Consider the following 19757-nt stretch of genomic DNA (forward strand, 5'->3'; position numbering starts at 1 on the left):
GCACAGTCCATATTTGCTGACTGAATGCAAGAATAAAACATTTTATCCAAATAGTATAGCGATTTATAATTCAGAGAAATAAATGGCTTTTCCAAAAATAGTTCTTTTCATACAAAATGTACATTCCAAAGATGGAAACCTGTGTTTGCTTTTCATCTACGTTTATAGAGAAAAGCCTCACTGCCTGGTCATGTGCCATGCATGGCCTATGCACCCTAGACCCCTACAGGCAGCTACCAAAAGTGCTGCATAGCCATTTGGGAGAGGTCCCTTACAAATCCAGTCTGTTCTAGATATCTAGGGCCAGGCCAGTGTTTATTACCACTGTGGTTAGGTTCTCTATTTGCTTCTCATTCACATGAATTACTGTGATTCTGAAATTGCAATTAATGGTAACTTTTTTTTTCTCTGTGGTATTTTACGGAAATGTATAGTCCTTTGCTCTTAGAGAAAGAACCCATTCCAGTGTTGACTTCAAGACCATAAGTTATTTCAAAACTATGTAAAGATTGACAATCCAGTAATAACCTGTCACTACACATACCCAGATTTTCCCTGTAAACTGTAATATTTAACATGAAATGTTAAATTCTGATGCCAGAGTTCATCAAAAACTAAACTGTTGCCTGCTTTTTGCGTCTTTATTCATTTTTTTAGATCAGAGGCTTCGAAACTGCTTACTGCATTGATAGCATGGGAAAAACAAATGGAGGCTTTGTTGAACTAGGACCCTGCCACAGGATGGGAGGGAATCAGGTAAACCACCTTACTTTTGTGTTTAAGTTGTTCCGTATTGAGGGCCATCAGGTTTATTGATCACAGAGTGATCTTTGTACTTTGGTTTTCGATTTGGTAATTTTGTTTGTTTTGATAAAGTAAAACATTCTGTAAAAAAATTGACAGTGTTAAAACATTCACTTAAATGATGGGAATAATAGCAGTATTGGTTTTCACATAAGCAGTCAGAATCTAGAATTAATGTCTAATATAAGGGATTAAAATATATTCCTGTGGGAGTATATATTTGTCACTACCGTAACTATGTAAGCCTAGCTCCCTAACAATTTTTTGCAAGTATTGCTCACTAATCCTCATCTTTTTGCAAATAGAGTGTTACTGCCAGTAATGTATATTTCACTAATATATATTCTCTTACTTATGTGGGTATGTTTTTGCTTTTTCATTTTTTCACATTGTTGGTACTTAATAAATTTGTGTTAGTGACCCATTTGGTATCTTAGAGACTAAAGAACTTAATGATTTCAGTGTTAATAAGGATCTTCACTAACATCAAAATAAATATAATTTGTCTGTGGACTTACAGTTCTAAACAAAATTATGGAAAAATAAGTTAGTCATTCAATTTAATTATAGGAGTTAAGTTTCTTTCTTTTCAAATGCACATCAGCAGGGAAGGTGCCTCTGTTACTTAATTCTCTCTTTTCCTTTTACAGCTTTTCAGAATCAATGAAGCAAATCAACTCATGCAGTATGACCAGTGTTTGACAAAGGGAGCTGATGGATCAAAAGTTATGATTACACACTGTAATCTAAATGAATTTAAGGAATGGCAGTACTTCAAGGTATTCTGCATTTTAACTTCTGAAATATTATATGCTTTTCATTTTCAGTAACATCTAGCATGTGGAATTTAGATAAATAAATCTTAAAACCTGCATTCAAATTCACTTGCATTTTCCTCTCATTTAGTCCCTTGCATAGGTTTTCCTGAGCACTGGATGACTCATTGTTCTATAATGAGGCATCACTTTTGTTCTCTCTTACAATATTGTCATGTAATGAGGCCACGATGATGTCTATAAAGAGCACTGCTAATTTTAGTAATACAAGAAAGTCAGTGTTCTGTGAGGCAGTCATCACCATTGCTCTCATCAAAATCTGATTTTTGAAATGTAAATGAATCATTCATTAAAGTAAAATATATTTAAATATATTTATACTATTAAAAATTTGGTTAATATTTGATATTGTCCAGCAGGTGGAGATAGAGACAAACAAATAAAACTTGAAATCTAGGCTTTCATAACGTCTTTATCATTGTTGTGTGCTAAATACAGTGGGATAAATGTAGCTAGTTGCTTACTTTAATGGTCAAATTTAGTTATTCACGTGACACTGCTGGGGTAGCTTTGTGTTTCAGCTGTGAGTATTTAAAGCTCTGTGGCAAGTTGAGGATTACAACATATTAATAGATTTATGTATAGTTTTCAAATTCTAGATTTGGCTAACATAAATCAATTTATTATTAAACAAAAAGTGGGGAAAGCTGCCTCACACTAAAAAAATCTGTCAACCCTCCATTTTATTTACTCACCCAGTATTTGTTATCATATCCCATCTGTCATGCAAGCAAGGACTTGTTTGCTATGTAATAATGATATGACCTAGCTTAACATTCCCTGTTACTGTCATTTACAGATAATTTCCAGGAAGTGATAAGCACGTATCAATTGATGATTTTGTTTCTTATAACAAGTTAGGAAGGAGAAGAATAGCATAAACCTTAAAGAGTGGAGCATTTATTTTCACAAAAAAAAAGGATATATAATAGCAATAAATAGTAGGGGTCAGTGAGAACAATATTAGCAAAATAGTAAAAGAGGGCTAACACACCAGAAACTACATCAAGAAGTAATTGAACAAAAAATGACACATAACATGTTTTAGGTATTTTAAAGACGCAGCACTGAATATACATTTGTGTGTTAGATATTACTGAACATTCACTTGGGGACCAATAATATGTTAGACTGTAGGGGAGTTCAAAAATATAGCTAAAGCACGCTATTATATAATGGCAGAGAAGAAAGAAATGCAAAAATAGAGATAAGCAAAATGCCATAGGACAGAAAAGAGTGATTCATGGGAGGAATTACTGCTGAGGAGTTTCATAGAGGAAGTGTCATTGCACAAGTCCTGAAGTGTAAAAAGGCTTTCCATGGAAAGTAAATAAGAAAGCCTGGATGAGCAAAGATGTGGCATGAAAACATGTAGAAAATTCAAAGAATTGTATTTCATTTGGTATCCCTCAATTGTGCTTTGGAGGAAAGAGCACCGAACTTCATTTTTTAAGTTTTGGAGAGGGATAGACCTTATTTGAGGAAGGTAGTGATGGAAAACAATGGCTACTTTTAGGAAAATAATTCTGGAAACGTGAGGTATGGACTGATGAAGCAACGAGATCAGCTTGAGCAGCAGTTCTCAAACTTTCTGTCCTCTGGATTCCCTTTACACTCTTAAAAATTTTTGAGCTCCCCCACCCCCAAATTGCTTTTGTTTATATAGGTTATCACTAGCAATATTTCCAGAACTGGAAAGTGTCTGAGAAATTTGTAAAGTTTTTATATATTAATTCATCTAAAAGTAATAATAATATACTTATTAAACATTAATGTAAATGACATTTTTAATGAAAAATAACTATGTTTACCCACAAAAAATAGTGAGAAGAATGGAATTCTGTATTTTTGCAAATCTCTTTAATGTCTGGTTTAATAGAAGAAGACAGCTGGATTCTCATACTCCTGCTTCATTTGGTCTGATCTGAAATGTTGTTTTCGTTCAAGTATATGAGGGAAACCCAGCCCCACACAAGCATACAGTTTGTAAAGGGAGCGAGTACTTTAATAGCCGTTCATATAATTGTGGCTGTTTTTTTATTGTACACCACAACTTAATAATTAAGTGGTAGTTTCTTAAAAGTTATTTCCAGTGTAGACTGATATCCTTGAGCATTGTACCTCATTATATGGAAGTACTTGATACGTACTTCCCACTTCATCTCATAGAATTTTTTTTAAGTATACTGAGGGGTCAAGACTGAATAAAACGAATGTTTTGCTCCTTCATCAGTGACATCCTTAAGTGAAACCGGCATTTACTTTTCAACTGTGTGTGGCCATGAGCAATACAACTATAGGTACTAGCATAGTTTGATTCATGCTAAGGCACCATCAGTTTTACTCACCATTGCTTTTGCACTATCGGTATAAATGTTGCTAAAGTGAAAAGGCAATGGTGTCTTCGTATTATGATGAAAATAGTTTCGGCCTTACAGACCCAATCCTGGATAGTCTGAGGACCAGACTTTGAGAAGCTCTGAGCTATATTGAAGAAACCTACAGCATATGGTGAGGGCCAAACCAGGGCATCTGCAGTGGCGATGGGAAGGAATATAAACCAGAGACATTGCACATATCCATCCTTAGTGACTGGTATGTGAGTGAATGAGGAAAAGTGCAGTATTTCCTAAGGACTAGAGAGCTGGGAATGTCATTAGCCAGGATAGGAACAAGAGACATAGATTTGGAGGGGCAGATAATGAATTTAGGTTTGTATACATTGAGTGTGAGATACCAGCAGTATATTGTGACTTAACAATGAAAGATCTTAGGACTTAGAAAACTGACAATCAAGAGAAATCCAGAAAACTGACAATCAAGAGAAATCCAAAGTCTGAGGTGTGGTTGAGAAGCTTTTCCATTTCCTTAAACTGTCTCCTCATGAAAGTCAAGTGATGATTTCTGATGTCAGTGATATCAAGGGTCCAAATTTGAAACTTTTTTCTTACTGTGTTTTCCAGAACCTGCACAGATTTACTCATATTCCTTCAGGAAAGTGTTTAGATCGCTCAGAGGTCCTGCATCAAGTATTCATCTCCAATTGTGACTCCAGTAAAACGACTCAAAAATGGGAAATGAATAACATCCATAGTGTTTAGAGAGAAAAAAATAAACCAATAACCTACCTACTGACAAGTAAATTTATACAGGACTGAAAACCGCCTGAAACCTGCTGCAACTATTGTTATTAACTCTGTATAGCTCCAAACCTGGAACCTCCTGATCAGTTTGAAGGACATTGATAAACTGTGATTTTACAATAACATTATCATCTGCAGTTACTGTTTACAAGACTGCTTTTACCTTAAACTTTGTAGATGTTTACATCTTTTTGTTGTGTTTTAAGATGATGTTGGTAATTTGTGCCTTTAGCTCTGTTTTATTAGACAGAGTTAAAGCATGTTGTCTTCTTTGGGATTACACTCAGGGGTCTGAAAGGCAGTTTGATTTTTATTTTTAACACACTTGAAAAAAGGTTGGAGTAGCCAGACTTTCATATATAACTTGGTGATTATCAACCTGTTGTGTCTTTATTTAATTTTACATCTTTTTGAAGCACTGCCACAGGTTATTAGCCAAGGTGGCCTTCCTTCACAGTCATGCTGCTTTTTTGAAAGGTGAATTTCAACACATTTAGTGCCTCTTTCATTTCTCAGTATATATTTCAAGAGCTTGTGATGAAATCTATAGGATGGTAATGATGGACTTGTCACCTGTATGGGGAATACTTTTACTACTCAGAAATGAATTTATGTGCTGCCATTTGCTATAAAGTTGAACTTTGTATGGCTTGAAAAAGAAATGACAATATGGAACATCCCAAGGCTGTCCCATAGGGTTGGAAGTTGTGTAGCATTCACTCCCTTACCTACTGGCATTCCCAGTGCCCTCTGTCCATACCTACTTCTAGGATTGCAAAGGAGTCTTCCAACTAGAGAAAAATTGTCCACTGACATTTGGGATTTACTTTTCTCCAATACCTGCCAATACAGAAAACTATTATCAGTTGTTATTGTTATCCCTTGAAAGCGAGGGTGACAAAAACAACAAAACACCGTTATAAACACATCAAAGGTTCATTCTGACTGAGGTAAGACTTTCCAAGCCCTTGTTAGATTAGGCCTTATAAAACTTGTGTGCATTATAACCTAAGCTGTGCAACCTGTGAAGCCAAGAGTGAACTGATGTTTCATTTATATTTTCATCCAAATGACATTATCTGCACGTTTTTAAAATTTAAAAACAAAGGACTATTTAAAAATACAGTTTATTAACAAACGTGAACTACTTTCTGTTACATTAGGTGTTCCCTAGTGTTTCTTAATTTCTTTTTAGAAAGTGTATTTTTATTAGTATTTTTCCGGTGAACAGAAGATTTGTTTGGATTTAAACATTTACTAAGACAGTACCTATTAGGAAAACCAAATATTGCAAATGGTCAATTCGATTTTAATTTCTCAAAAGATACTCTGTTATCCAGAAGATTAAAATGCCTACATTGAGTGCTTAAAAAAAAAAAAACAACTGTGATGATGTGAGCAGAATGGCAAGTAAGTTAAGCATTTTTGATCCTGTAATCATGGTATCATTACAATGAAAGGAATTCACAAACTACTGCCAGAGGAAGTTTGTTTTTTAATTTAAGAGGGAAATATAACCTATAAATTTGTTTCTTCCAAGCTTAGCTCTTAAATTTGGAGACTCAAAGTTAAACATCCTCAACAGAGTTTTATTTATAATTTTGAATTGTCAATTTGTATTTTGCTACTGATCTGTGATCAACCATTTTAACTTTCATCTCTAGGGATGTTTAACATTTATAATTGCAAAATAAACCAACTATAAAAAAAGAAACTAAGAGAGAATTGGTACTTTAATTACTTGTGTGTTTGCAAATAGGCTCCATTTTCCATGTTGAGTAGATTATAACCTTATTAACTATGCATAGGCCTAAGAAAGGTGGCAATGAACTGTGCATGTAAATTTTAAATGGGTACTTTGTGCAATTCGTTAAAAGAAGATACTCTATGAATATGATTCTATATATTGAAATCAGAAAACCTACCAAACAAAAACATCAGAAGCTGCTGCCATAATGACTATTTTCTACTGTAGGCTGCTTTGGAAATAATTCCCATATCCTTGCTTTGTAAGTTGGTAATATCACTATGCATTTCTACACATTTTATAAATTTGATTTATGCAGATTTTGATACACTGTATGTTTCTGTAGAAATTGTATAAATATTCAAAATTTTATTAGGATAAATTTGAGAAACTTACGTATATCTTAATTCTGGGTTGCTTGTTTTTTAGGTGACAAAAATAAAATATTGTATTTTAATTCATGGGTTTTTTTGGTGCTTGTAATCATTTCAAATCTAAACACTGCACATTTGAAAGAATTACTTGATTTTACTATTTACAAGACACACAATACCTAAAATATTATAGACCATAGTTATTAGTTGAGTATGTGCTTGACTGTTGCTTAGCATTCTGTTACACATGCTTAGAATACTCAGAGCTTATGTATCTGTTGGAAGGAAACAAAGGTTTATTTTTACCTGTTTGCCTATGTATACCAATTTTTTAAGTTTATACTTTTTTTAATTATAAAAAATTACCCCAGCAACATATATCCTTCTTGGCTGTATATAGAATTGCCTTCTTGGCTGTACTATAGAATTGCCTATTAGAAGCAAACATGCCTTCAAATCAAATTTGTTTACAACCTGACAGATCAGGTTAAGTGGAGAAAAATGAAGAGAAGGGAAGCCTACCACAATGAAATTAGAAATAGTCCATAGCACCTTGTACAAAACACATCTCAAGAGAAGATACGGTTGCTAACAGATTCAAGTAAGTGGCTGTATTGATTTGGGAAACTTTCTCTCAACTGACCTGTCTATTGTCATATCTCCCAATTCTTAGCTGCTGTAGAAGTAGGCTAAGAAATTTGAAAAAGTGACAGCACCAGACTAGAATAAATGGGAGTTTCTTTATTTCTTAAGTTTCTCATAGGGATCTTGGAATATATTTCATTTCTGGACATAATTGGGAAAAAAATCCATATATAATTCAATGGAAAACATGACAAGTACCTCACCAGAAAGCCAGATACCTAATAGGCCAATAGTTTAGGTACGTGAAAATTATTCCATGTGAAAGCACTTTAAGAAGTGTTGAGCATTATGAAACTGTGATGTGATAAGTGCATCTTGAAGAATATCTAAGATATTGTATCCTTCAAATTACCTTTAAATGAAATTTCTCTTGGGCTTTTGGTTTGAGCAAATAAACCACAGCTGTATTAAGAATTAACTAACCGAAACAAAACTAAATATTTGAATAGAAAATAGGGATGAATAGACTTCCACTTCCGGCTATAATTTTAAGTGGACTTATCTTGCTACCCCAAACAACAGTTAATGCTGGACAAAATATATGAAGCAACTGTTTTCAGGAATTGGATACTAGTCAAAGCAGACTGATATCTAAAAGAAAGGAAATACACAAGGTGAATCCCAGGTTCACCATGTCTGTCTCCATGGGAGGACATTCCCAACCATGGTGCAAGGAATGCGGCTCAGAATGGTGGTATTGCTGAACTGAGGAGGCGGAGTGGAGGTTTCCGGCTGCTGAAACAGCTAGAATCTACAATCCAGGTTATTGGAGGGGAAGTACGCTTGAGTGTCAGGAGAGCTATACAGGAATTTTTATACCACAGCCATTTGCAATAGCGAAAACCCTGGAAGCAACCTAAATGCCCATTGACAGGAGAAAGGATGAATTGTGATATAATCACACAATGGAATATTACAGAGATGAATATGAATAAACTAGTTGTTATAAACAAGTTTTAGGTGTACAGGATTGAATGAAAAAGGCACTTCCCAAAACACTTTATTCAGCACTTTTTATCAATCTCAAAAGTGACTAAAAGTAAACATACAGTATGTTAATACATTTATACATGATAGGTTAAATAACTTGTCCAAGTTCACAAATTTAGTACTGGGGTCAAGGACATAATCAAGTCCAGTACTCAATATCCCTCTAACTCTGTGGGATGAATATTTATTTGGTGCCAGGAAAAACTCTCCTAAAGAATGTATGTTTTCCACATAACTTCTTTAATTTTCCTCTCTACCTAGACTATCAAGAACCTCAGGGCTGGAACAGTGGCTCACACCTGTAATCGCAGCACTTTGGGAGGCCAAGGGGAGAGGACTGCTTGAGTCCAGGAGTTTAAGACCTGCCTGGGCAACATAGCCATGTGTGGTGGCACACATCTGTGGTCCCAGCTGCTTGAGAGGCTGAGGCAGAAGAATCGCTTGAGTCTGGAAGGTGAAGGCTGCAGTGAGCTAGAACTTTATCTAATACTCCATCGTAGTATCTGTATTAACCCATGTATATCGGCATATATACTTTTAGCTAATATTTATCGAGCATTTACTATTTCTTGCCACCAGGATAAGTGTCTTAAATGTATTACTTTACTTAATCCTCAAAAACATTCAAATTTTACAGATGAGGAAACCGAAATGTTACATGAGTTGTCTGATGTTACAAAACCAGTAAGAAAAACAGAGCCCTATTCAAATCCGTGATTCACTACCTTGCTTTTAATTTCTTTCATAACCTTGTTTTTTTCTTTGTATATTTTGTTCTTGTTTTTCTTTGTATAAGCCATTAATATTTTTTGGAAAAAATTTGGAGAATCAAAGAATTACACAAATATGAATGGATTATGGTATTTTACTATCTCTTATCTGCCCGAGGACAATGTCCAAGTTGATTGTCCTGCTTTTCTAATGAAAGACTAGATGATATAAAGGCCATTTCCAGTTCCAAAATTTAGTGCTACATAATGCTGAAAAGTTATTTTTCTTTCCTTTTAATGCGACAGTCTATTGCACTCCTGAGTTACTATTCTATAGATGTGGTAACACCTAGGATGAGGATCACCAGAAGTCTGCACTGTTAACTCTTGAAGAATAAAGGCCCAGGAGCACAATGAAGTTCAATTGAAACATTTTTATTTACCTTTGCTGCAGGGTAAGTTGAGTTTCCAATCAGGGCAAGAAGGGTTTCTGACCTATAAAAACAATGGTTAGCTGTAAGGCATATATAAACTTTTATTAACCTTGGACCTGACTCAAGTAAAAATTATTACACTTATATTTACTATTTAATTTATAGAAGTGGCAAACTGGTGACCTTTGGGCAGAATCTTACCTATAGACATGTTTTGACCCCAAAATTGGAATTCATTGCCAATACTGTATTTAAAATTCAGAATTCACGAGTTCTAGTTCCACTTGAAAATTTGAGAGATCTGGGAATCCTATATTCACATTTCCATCTAGCAACAGGACTGAGCTAAACAGTGGCTATCCCCTTTAACCTGGGTATTTGTATATTTACAAACATGCTTAGAACACTGTTTCTTGCATTAGAGACAAAGCAGTATACAAAAGTGAAAATTTTACTGCCCTCACAGAGCTTACTTTCAAAATGTTCTTCACTTCACCACATCCAGTCCTTTTCCCTGGCTAGTCTCTATAGGTCTTGGCATTTCCTAATGTCAATAAATACTCTGCCTTTCTCTAAAACTGTCAGTCTCCAACAGGAATCTCATGAAGAACTAATCCAAACATGGTGAGGTATGAAATTTCATTTTTAAAGGACTAGATCTTACACAGTGGCATAGCAGCTCCTTTAGCTTTCTTGATTTTATTCCCCAAGAAATAAAATCATTACTGCTTTGTAAAGCATTTTTAGTGATATATTTAGTAATAAAAAGCCAGGTTTAAGATAATGCTATTTTTCTACTATGTAAGACAACCTTATGATTTACAGTAAGTGAAACTGGTAAAAGGTAAAATACAAAAAAAGCATACTTTCCTCTATTGATCAAGTTTGCAGTGAGTGCTTTGTTTGATATATAAGAGAATTTAGGAAATTCTAACCCAGTGCCCTGCTTTTATAGATTAAAAGACCAAAAGTAGTGGCTGACATCGGGAAGGAAACGTGAGCCCCTACCTCAGTCCTTGCACCAAAATTAATTCCAGAAGGATCAAAGATGTAATCAAAAATTTAAAAAAAGAAACCAAAGGATAATTATTTTTATAGTCTTTTATGATCTTTGAGTGGGAAGGACCTCACTAGAAAAGTTTTAGTGAAAGAATTGCTAAATTTGCCTACATAAAGAAATCTCTGCATGAAAAAAGCATCATAAAGTCAAAAGGGTCATTTTCCTTAATATATAGTATTCCCAAAAACTATTAATAAAAAGACCAGTGAGAAAAGACCACAGGAAAGAATACAAATGGCTTTTTTTTTTTTTTTTTTTTTTTTGAGACAGAGTCTTGCTCTTGTCACCCAGGCTGGAGTGTAGTGGCGTGATCTCTACTCACTGCAAACCTCTGCCTCCCGGGTTCAAGCGATTCTCCTGCCTCAGCCTCCCAAGTGGCTGGGATTACAGGTGCCCATCACCACACCCGGCTAATGTTTTTGTATTTTTAGTAGAGACAGGGTTTCACCATGTTGGCCAGGCTGGTTTTGAACTCCTGACCTCAAGTGATCCGCCTGCTTCGGCCTCCTAAAGTGCTGGGATTACAGGCATGAGCCACTGCACTCAGCCCCACAAATGGCTGTTAAACATAAAAAAAAAATGAAACTCATAATAGAAAACATTTTATCTATATCAGAATAACAAAGACTAAGAAGTTTGAGAACTATTATGTTGCTGAGATGAGGAAACAGGCACTCCAAAACATTTCATTGCTATGGAGTGTCCACTCCATAGCGTAGTACAACTTCTATTGTTGAGAAGCAGTTTTGTTTAGCAGGCTCCATTAACAGCACCAGAGCAGTTTCTGGCATATATTAAGCACAGGTTTTAGCTAGTATAGTTAGCACATTTTTAAATGTGCATGTCTTTTGGCCCACCTACTTCACTTGTAGGTCTTTTTTCACATGTGACATCAAATGGTTTCGTTTTTTTCAGACCAAGTCTTGGTCTGTTGCCCAGGCTGGAGTGCGATGGCATGATCACAGCTCATTATAGCCTAGACATCCCAGGCTCAAGTGATCCACCTCAGCCTCCTAAATAGCCAGGACCACAGGCATGCACCACCATGCCCGGCTAATTTTTGTATTTTTGGTAGAAACAAGGTCTATGTTGACTAGACTAGTCTCAAACTCCTGGGCTCAAGTGAGCCTCCCACCTCACACTCCCAAAGTGCTGGGATTATAGGCGTGAGCCACCATACCCAGCAAGTGTTCTCTAACTAAAAATAGAAAAAATTAGCCAGGCTTGGTGGTGGGCGCCTGTAGTCCCAGATACTTGGGAGGCTGTAGCAGGAGAATGGCGTGAACCCGGGAGGCGGAGCTTGCAGTGAGCCGAGATGTGCCACTGCACTCCAGCCTGGGTGACAGAGCGAAACTCCGTCTGAAAAAAAAAAGAAAATATGTATATAAAACAAAAACAAAACAAAACCCATAATTATCCTATTATCCTTAGGGAACTGGTTAAATTATGATCTATTCAATGGGATACCATACAGATAGCTATTTAAAGGAAAATGGCAGCTCTGTTGCTCTGGGGTACTGAAAACAATCTCCAAAATAATGAGATGAATACACTTGTATATAGGAAGCTTCTATGTAACACTGTAACATATACACACATATATATTTTTTACACCTATGTCTTTCTTAAAGGATAGATTATTGCATTGTTGGTGTTGCCTCCTGGGACAGGGTAGCAGAATCAAGAAAGAGTATAAACTATTACATATCCTTTTACATTCTGAACTATTAAGATATGATCTATTTTTAAAAAGAAAACAGGTTTCACAAACACACTTCCAAGTAGTGGCTGGTGTGAGATCTAATTCTTGCCCTCATTTTAGTTCTTTCCAATATGTTCACTCCTTGAAGTCACCTGGTCTTGATTATTGAGAATTTGGGGAATTTTGATCCACACTTACAAGAATATCAAACATGAGCCAGGAAGGATCCATCTCAAATCCTGAGTTCATTCTGGAGGAACTCTTGATTAAAAGAATAGTTCTTAGCTTAGAAACTTAAAAGTATATTTTATGGAAAAGATAATGAAAGAAGTCACAGACTCCCAAAAAGAAAGGTGACAAGGAACCCAACAGGTCTGCCTCTTGGATCTAATTTATTTAGAAATTCTTAAATAAACAAACTTACTTACTCTATTTCAGTTTTAGAAACTCTTATTCGATATCCTTTATGCAGTAGTTACTACTTTAAAATAACACTTCGACCATTAAAACACTGTGAAGTAGGTAAAGTTCATACTGCTAGCATTTGGTAGAGGTAGGGAACTGGGTCTCAGACATAGGTAGTATCTAAAATAGATTACCCCAAATGTTTTAGCATATTAAGTCATCTACCACCAGGAAACACTGAAAATTAGTTTTCATCTTATGATAAGTGAAAGCCCCAAGTCTGAATGTAAGATTTCTTATTTTTATGTAGGCCAATTTATCAATTCTTTCATGGCTTTGGGAGGTCTCTCCCACTCAGAATATAATTAATAGAGGGCAATCATAAAGATGATTGAAGATTTTACTTAAGTCCATTTGTTCTAATACCCCACTATTTAACAGAGAATTATCTTACCGAATATGAGACAACCAAAGCTCCCATGGTTGGGTAACAGAAATCCTGACTTCTATTTTAAAGTTTGGTAGGTAACCAAGATTGTCAAATTTAACTCTAAAATTGTCAACAAATAGCTTACTTCTATAATTCTATAAGCACATAGCCAACCAGATGGCCAACCTTCACTAATAATCTCTAATGAAAGTTATCTTAATTCAAATACAGCAACTGCTTCCTTAAACAAGCATTTTTAAAATAACTGCCTTCCCCGTAAATAATACAATTCCCAGGTAAGTTTAGTCATGGAATATAACCATCTCAAACGGCTTCTTAGTTACCCATAATTCTAAAGCTTAAGACCAAAATGAAGATATACAGTAATCCTCCCTTACCATGGCTTCACTTTCCCACAGTACAGTATTTTCAGACCACATTCACAAAACTTACTAGTTATAAATGTTCTCATTATTGCTGTTAATCTTACTGTGCCTAATTTATAAATTAAACTTTATCACAGTTGCGTATGTATAGGAAAAAACAAGGCTTCAATACTCTTGGCTCTTTCAGGCATCCACTGTAGGTCTTACACCCCACAGATAAGGAGGGACTACTGTAACTCAAAACCTAATCCGGTATTCTATCTTGAAACAGCTCAACTTAATAGCAGAAAACTTAATCTTGTTATTGAATTTTGTTTCAGTTTGTCCTTTTAGATATGAATTCACATTCTAGCCCCTCTTCTTCCCATTAAAGAGAATTTTTCACCCAAAATAAACTTGTTAAACAATATACTGGGACAGGCGTGGTGGCTCACACCTGTTAATCCCAACACTTTGGGAGGCTGAGGTGGGCAGATCATTTGAGGTCAGTTCCAGACCAGCCTCACCAACATGGTGAAACCCTGTCTCTACTAAAAATATAAATTAGCTGGGCTTGGTGGCACATGGCTGTAGCCCCAGCTACCAGGGAGGCTGAGGCAGAAGAATCGCTTGAACCCGGGAGGCGGAGGTTGCAGTGAGCTGGGATCGTGCCACTGCACTCCAGCCTGGGCAACAGAGTGAGACTCCATATACATATATATGTATATATACGTATATATGTGTATATATATACATATATATATATATATATATGTATATATATATACACACACCTGAGGAACAATTTAGCTAATAAACAGAAACGTCAAGTACAAAACTTAACGTTCTGTAAAACTGCATAAATTCTTATAAAGTTCACTGAGTTCAACATGTAACTTTTAAAGAACATTTTGCAAATATGAGCATGTTTGGTTTTAATTCTCAAACATTTTACTAGGTCAACTGTGTCTAAGAACTACTAGGCAGAAATACCGAAAAAAATCAACATAGCTCTGGTCTTCAAATGGCTTTTTTAAAGTGAAAATTAACTTAGCATATTAAGACAAAGACAATAGAAATAATATACATAATTTTATTACAAAATTTTTTTTAAAAAAACGAAATGCAACATCCTAAAAAACCCAAAATTTACTATTGATACTAATTCCTACAAGTTTGCTGTGCTACCATACACAAGAAATTAAAAAAACCATTAAATATTTAGGAACATTCAACATCAGAAGCTGTAAAATCTAACTGTATGAGTAGCCCATCAAAAAGCTACAACCTGCATTTTTTAAAAGTATTTTCTCTACAGAGAATCTTATCAGCTATACAAAAATCTGTACAGTTTTTATACTGAAGCTAGTATTGAGCTGCACTTGAATTCACATTCTTAGCAAAATAATTGCCTGAGCACACACACACATTCCACACGCATCATTAAAGGATAGCCATTTATTCTTCATCTTCATCCTCTTCCTCCTCATCTTCATCTTCTTCTTCCTCCTCCTCCTCCTCATCTTCTGGTTCGTTCTTCTTCTTTGAGCCTGTTGGCCTGCCAGGGCCCTTCTTTCCTGCTTCACTTTTGCCCTTGGCACGATATGCAGCAATATCCTGAAATATTGTCAAAAAAATAAAGCATCCGGTATCATTACTCAACTGTGAAAAACCACTTAGTTGTAAACAATCTAAGATGATTGACCAATAACCCTAATAACTGTCTAAAAAGGTAACCAGTCTAAGTTTTTAGAGCACTTATCCCACTAGGCTTTAACAAGTTAATGACGTAAAATGACAAGGGTTGCGATACAGCAGTATCAGTACTTTCACTACCAATACCCTTTTACATCACACACAGTGCCATAGTCCCTCCTGTACCTTCACATTTTATATATATCTACATAAAACAATTTCTTTGACTCTCTGCTTAAAAAAAAAAATAACAGACTATACAGACTATACAATAACTACAAGTAACTACAAGTCTGTCTGCAGGAATATACTAGTGCTACAAACACTGGTTTCAGTCAAAAGGAAGGTTTCAATTACCTTGTGTTGAAGTGTACAATTTTCATTAGGCCTTTTCAAAACATAGCTGACAACCATTAATACAAGATTAACTAAATTTCCCAGGTTTTCTACAGTTATTACCTATACCTAGTCTTATCCACGGCTTTAAAAAAGATGACACTGTACCTTTTCATATTTCTCCTTTAGCTTAGCTGCTTTCTGTTCATATGGTTGTTTATCTTTGGCTGACTGCTCAGACCACATTTCACCCAATTTCTTTGCAGTATCCCCAATGGATAGGCCAGGGTGTTCACTTTTGATCTTTGGGCGATGTTCAGAGCAAAACAGGAAGAAGGCAGATCTGAAAGGAAGCAACAGAGTTTAATAAACTGAAGGAAAAATCCAAGGAGCAATTTGGGTTATTTTAAACTTACGGTGGCCTTTTAGGAGCATTGGGGTCCTTTTTCTTCCCCTTCTTATCACCTTTGGGAGGAACGTAATTTTTCATCTCCCTGTCATAGCGAGCTTTGTCACTTTTTGCCATATCTTCAAACTTCGACTTCTCCTTTGCAGACATGGTCTGTGGACATAAAATAAGAGCCAAAAATACAGCAAAATTGTTACCTATAAACATCCAAAGACGACAAGATCATCTTTAAGGACCACATTTTCCTTAACAGCATTTTGCTTTCGAAGTCTTATATAAGTAAAAACCTAAAATCGTCTGCCTGGAACTCTTAAGATATTCAGGTGAGTCACTGGGGTGGCAAAGTTGAAGCTCATGAGTTGCCTACTACCTGCCTAAGGCCCTCCTAGCCGAAAACCACACCTGCACCCCCTGAGCTCCGTCCCTCTCCTGCCTCACCTTCCATCTCTCCGAACACTTCTTGGAGAATTCCGCGAAATTGACGGAAGAGTCCGGGTGTTTCTTCTTGTGCTCTTCCCGGCAGGTCTGCACGAAGAAGGCGTACGAGGACATTTTGCCCCGCGGCTTGTTGGGGTCTCCTTTACCCATGTTGACAGATCCGCGTCCACCTGACGGGGCCGAGGGGGGAGAGGGGAAGCCGGAGGGTCGGCGCGGAGCCCGCAGCTGCCAGGGCGGGCGCTGGCGGGGCTCCGCTTCCCGCCCAAATCCGCTCCCGCCCTGCCCGCGCCCCCCTCCTCCCGAGGGCGTCCTCCCAAGGGCGGCCGCCCGCGCCCCCGCCCGCGCCCCGGCGCACACCCTCCTCCTCCTCCTCCTCCCGGCCCGAGCGGCCGCGGCTCAGCCCAGCAAGTGGCTCCCGGGGCCCGAGACGCCGCCGCCCGCCCTTCACCGAGTCCGGTGACTCCGCAAGCGCCCTCAAAACGCCTTTCCTGACAGAAATGTCCCCCAGCTCCCACGTCGCGAGCCTCACTTAACCGCTAAGCACCTCGTGACCGACATTGAAAACTCCCAGAACCGGGCCCGGTCAGGGGCAGTTTCCGCCTCCTCCGACTGCCCGCCGGCCCTCCACAGACCCAGCCCTCGCCGGCCCGCACCCCAAATGCCGCTCGCCGGGTCAGACCCCGAGAGCCACTGCGCCGAGACCGAGTAGAGGCTCTGAGGGAATGGGGAAAGGCAGGTCCACGAACCCGAGGGTATTGGAGGGTATTCTTGCCTGGTGCGAGCTTTTCCTCAGAGTCCCGCAGAGCGGCCGGACCCAACGGAGACGCTTCCCTCACGGGGCTCCGGCGTGAACTGGTTTATCTCTAACGCAATCCTCAGCCTCTTGTTTTGCAGAGTTCTCCGCGCCACGGCAACTTGACGAGCTAGGCCACGGGCCACATCCCCACTAATCTGATTGGTTCTGACGATTATTCAAACCCAGATAGTCCCCGCCCCCTTGCCACGGAGGCTAACGATTGGTCAGTGTCTTACCAGACCCGCCCTCCACGCCCCAGCCTAGCAGGTTCGGTGGGTCGCCCAGGTCGTTAACTCCCAGACCCGTTAGAACCGGTCAGGAGAGGAATGTACTGCTCGATCCTGATTGGCGGCGGGAAGAGGGTTTGAAAAATGGCGGGCCTCACGCTGACTGGTTGGGGCTGTAAACGGTGGGAGTGGTTGGCTCGGGAAGGAAAGCCCCGCCAGATTTAAAAATACTTAGTCGGGAGACTGGGGGTTGGTCTCCTGGCTTGGCGACGGCGGCGGCTCGGTTTGCTGGCGCTAAGGTAACAGAAGAGGTCTGCCTTGCCCTTCCTCCGACCACCATTTAGGTCCTGTCTGTCCCCCGCGTCGGCTCAGCCCTGCAGCGTTGGCTCCTGGGAGCTGTAGTCGCTCTGCTCTGTTGCCCTGCAGGGTCTCCCGTGCGCCGCCCAGAGAATAATAAATGAGGAGAGCCTGGAGTTTGCCCTGCAAAACCGATTGCCCAGCTCCTCCCGCTGTCGCTGAGGTTGTCGTAGAACTCGGGGAAGTCAAGGCAGGGAACCTCGGAAAGGGCGCGGGGGGCCGGGAGGGAACCGTTCCCGCGTCCCGTAGGGTGTTAAAAAACGTTCTGAAAGTAAGATGCTTCCCGCCGAGGGAGTTTCCCTCAGAAGGCTCCTCCTTCCTTCCCTCTTTGTCTCGGGTGACAAATACTGGGAGGTAAACAAGGGCACCCTCCGGGTCCCGAAGGGGCGGAGGCGGCGCCTTCTCCCCCGGCCCCGCCCCCTCCTACCGGGTCCGGAATTCCAAGCCCCGAGTGTCTCGGCCCCCACGCCGCACCCTGCAGCGGTGCGCCGGGAGCTCGGAGCCGGCGGCTGCCCTGTCTTTGGCTGGCCTGGCCTTCGCCTGGGCATTCACTGTCTCGTCCTACTAGTGTGATAGTTTTTAAAAATTGAGAATCGCATAAAAGCAATGCATGCTCCCTATCCCACTCCCAATTGCGTATATTCTCCAAACGGCATACAGCCACGTTACAGGCTCCTCCAAGCTTGGGTTAAGAACCTCCGTGTTAGTATAGGGAGAGCGCGCCAAAGCTACCTTACCTTACTGCTTACCAGCGTCACAAGCTGCTTTTCCCAAGGTAGAGGACTTTAATTGACATCCTGGTGTGCTATTTCTGTGGTATTTAGTTTTGAGGGATTCCCCCCATTATTGGAATATAGGTTGCGTGACTGTTTCAAGAAATTTAAATATTTTGTCTTAATTTTTCAGTAAGTTCGTTGGCACATGTTAAGACTATGCTCTTTGGTTTGTATATGGTTGTCATAATAGTATTTGAAAACCAGCAGTTGTTTATCTAGGTTTACTAATAAAAAAGATCTTAAAAAAAATGTATTTTCCTAGGAAATGGATAATGGTTGTCCAACATTGTGAATGTACTTAATGCCAGTGAATTGTACACTTAGGAATGGGTAAAATGGTAACTTTTATGTTATGTATGTTTTACCACAAAAAAATAAAGTGGCAGTTTTTCAAACAGAAAAAAATGTATTTCCTTTTATTTAAGGGTCCCAGAATTTTGTTAATCAAAAACCTTAGTTTATAACATTCTCTTTTCTGCCTTAAGTTGTAATACCTACAAAATTAGTTACAAGGGTGTTATAAAAGCACCCAAAAATCCAAATTAACCAAGTAATTCATAGTACTTTATTCAAATAGCAATTAGCAGTGAGATCACTAATGCATTACACTTTTAAAACGTATTTTTAAGTTTCTGTTTAGATTTTTTTAAATTATGGCATAAAGTAAGCTGTGCTTATATAAAAACTGGGCCTTTATTCAAGAACTGTGTATTGAATATGCCAAGCATTGAGCTTGGCAGTCGAGATACAAAGATGAAAAGTCATAGCCTGTGACCTCAAAAATTTAGAGGGACAAAAATAGGAAACAGTACAACATTAGTTAAAATTGTTCATTAATGAGAGCATAAGACAGTCACCTAAAGACTGTGTAGGGAAGTAGGAAAACTCTTCTATGAAAGTAGCATTTGAGTAGAGGTGGATTGGAGAACGTCAAGCAGGGGGAAACAAAAAACAGAAAGGCCTTTGAGAGAGCTTTGCTTGTTTGGGGATCAACTAGTAGTAGTTCTGTATTACAGGAACTTAATGATGATGATACTCAACCTGCAGCTTATAGAGGAATTTAGTCTTTATCTCCCCA

The 19757-nt window shown here is 38.4% G+C and overlaps 2 protein-coding genes across 14 annotated transcripts in view, besides 6 other annotated features; one reads left to right on the top strand and one right to left on the bottom strand.

The window, feature by feature from the left end:
* Positions 1-6991, top strand: part of GALNT7 (polypeptide N-acetylgalactosaminyltransferase 7) — a 155157-nt gene extending 148166 nt beyond the window's left edge. For 10 of the 11 annotated variants that reach the window (XM_047415780.1, NM_001375599.1, NM_017423.3 and 7 more), the window contains 3 exons: positions 658-756; positions 1455-1583; positions 4604-6991. In XM_047415780.1, the coding sequence (XP_047271736.1) occupies positions 658-756; positions 1455-1583; positions 4604-4741 (366 nt within the window). In that variant the 3' untranslated portion in view covers positions 4742-6991. The remainder of the gene's footprint in view (positions 1-657; positions 757-1454; positions 1584-4603) is intronic. The other variant, NM_001375600.1, reaches the window with a different exon arrangement.
* Positions 6992-14399: 7408 nt separating this feature from the next.
* Positions 14400-17382, bottom strand: HMGB2 (high mobility group box 2). 3 transcript variants are annotated; one of them, NM_002129.4, is made up of 5 exons: positions 17296-17382; positions 16524-16693; positions 16093-16238; positions 15845-16019; positions 14400-15262 (listed from the first exon to the last, which is right to left on the bottom strand). In NM_002129.4, exons 2-5 carry the CDS (start codon positions 16671-16673, stop codon positions 15104-15106), a joined length of 630 nt encoding a protein of 209 aa, NP_002120.1. In that variant the 5' UTR covers positions 16674-16693; positions 17296-17382; the 3' UTR covers positions 14400-15103. The 3 variants fall into 3 exon arrangements, with proteins under 3 accessions (NP_002120.1, NP_001124160.1, NP_001124161.1); NM_001130688.1 differs by having other exon boundaries at positions 17270-17382; NM_001130689.1 differs by lacking the exon at positions 17296-17382 and having other exon boundaries at positions 16524-16793.
* Positions 16629-16748: a silencer, noted in NCBI's record as "silent region_15808". NCBI's record gives its function as "represses an Ori minimal core promoter by ATAC-STARR-seq in GM12878 lymphoblastoid cells {active_cell/tissue: GM12878}" and the evidence as "EXISTENCE:reporter gene assay evidence [ECO:0000049][PMID:35858748]".
* Positions 16829-16878: a silencer, noted in NCBI's record as "silent region_15809". NCBI's record gives its function as "represses an Ori minimal core promoter by ATAC-STARR-seq in GM12878 lymphoblastoid cells {active_cell/tissue: GM12878}" and the evidence as "EXISTENCE:reporter gene assay evidence [ECO:0000049][PMID:35858748]".
* Positions 17499-17748: a silencer, noted in NCBI's record as "silent region_15810". NCBI's record gives its function as "represses an Ori minimal core promoter by ATAC-STARR-seq in GM12878 lymphoblastoid cells {active_cell/tissue: GM12878}" and the evidence as "EXISTENCE:reporter gene assay evidence [ECO:0000049][PMID:35858748]".
* Positions 17499-18368: a biological region, named in NCBI's record as "NANOG-H3K27ac-H3K4me1 hESC enhancer GRCh37_chr4:174255709-174256444".
* Positions 17582-18317: an enhancer, noted in NCBI's record as "NANOG-H3K27ac-H3K4me1 hESC enhancer chr4:174255709-174256444 (GRCh37/hg19 assembly coordinates)". NCBI's record gives its function as "activates a minimal SCP1, AML or CMV promoter by ChIP-STARR-seq in primed H9 embryonic stem cells {active_cell/tissue: H9 hESC(primed)}" and the evidence as "EXISTENCE:reporter gene assay evidence [ECO:0000049][PMID:30033119]".
* Positions 18239-18368: a silencer, noted in NCBI's record as "silent region_15811". NCBI's record gives its function as "represses an Ori minimal core promoter by ATAC-STARR-seq in GM12878 lymphoblastoid cells {active_cell/tissue: GM12878}" and the evidence as "EXISTENCE:reporter gene assay evidence [ECO:0000049][PMID:35858748]".

This window comes from Homo sapiens, chromosome 4 (assembly GCF_000001405.40).
Source record: "Homo sapiens chromosome 4, GRCh38.p14 Primary Assembly".
Lineage (NCBI taxonomy): Eukaryota > Metazoa > Chordata > Mammalia > Primates > Hominidae > Homo > Homo sapiens.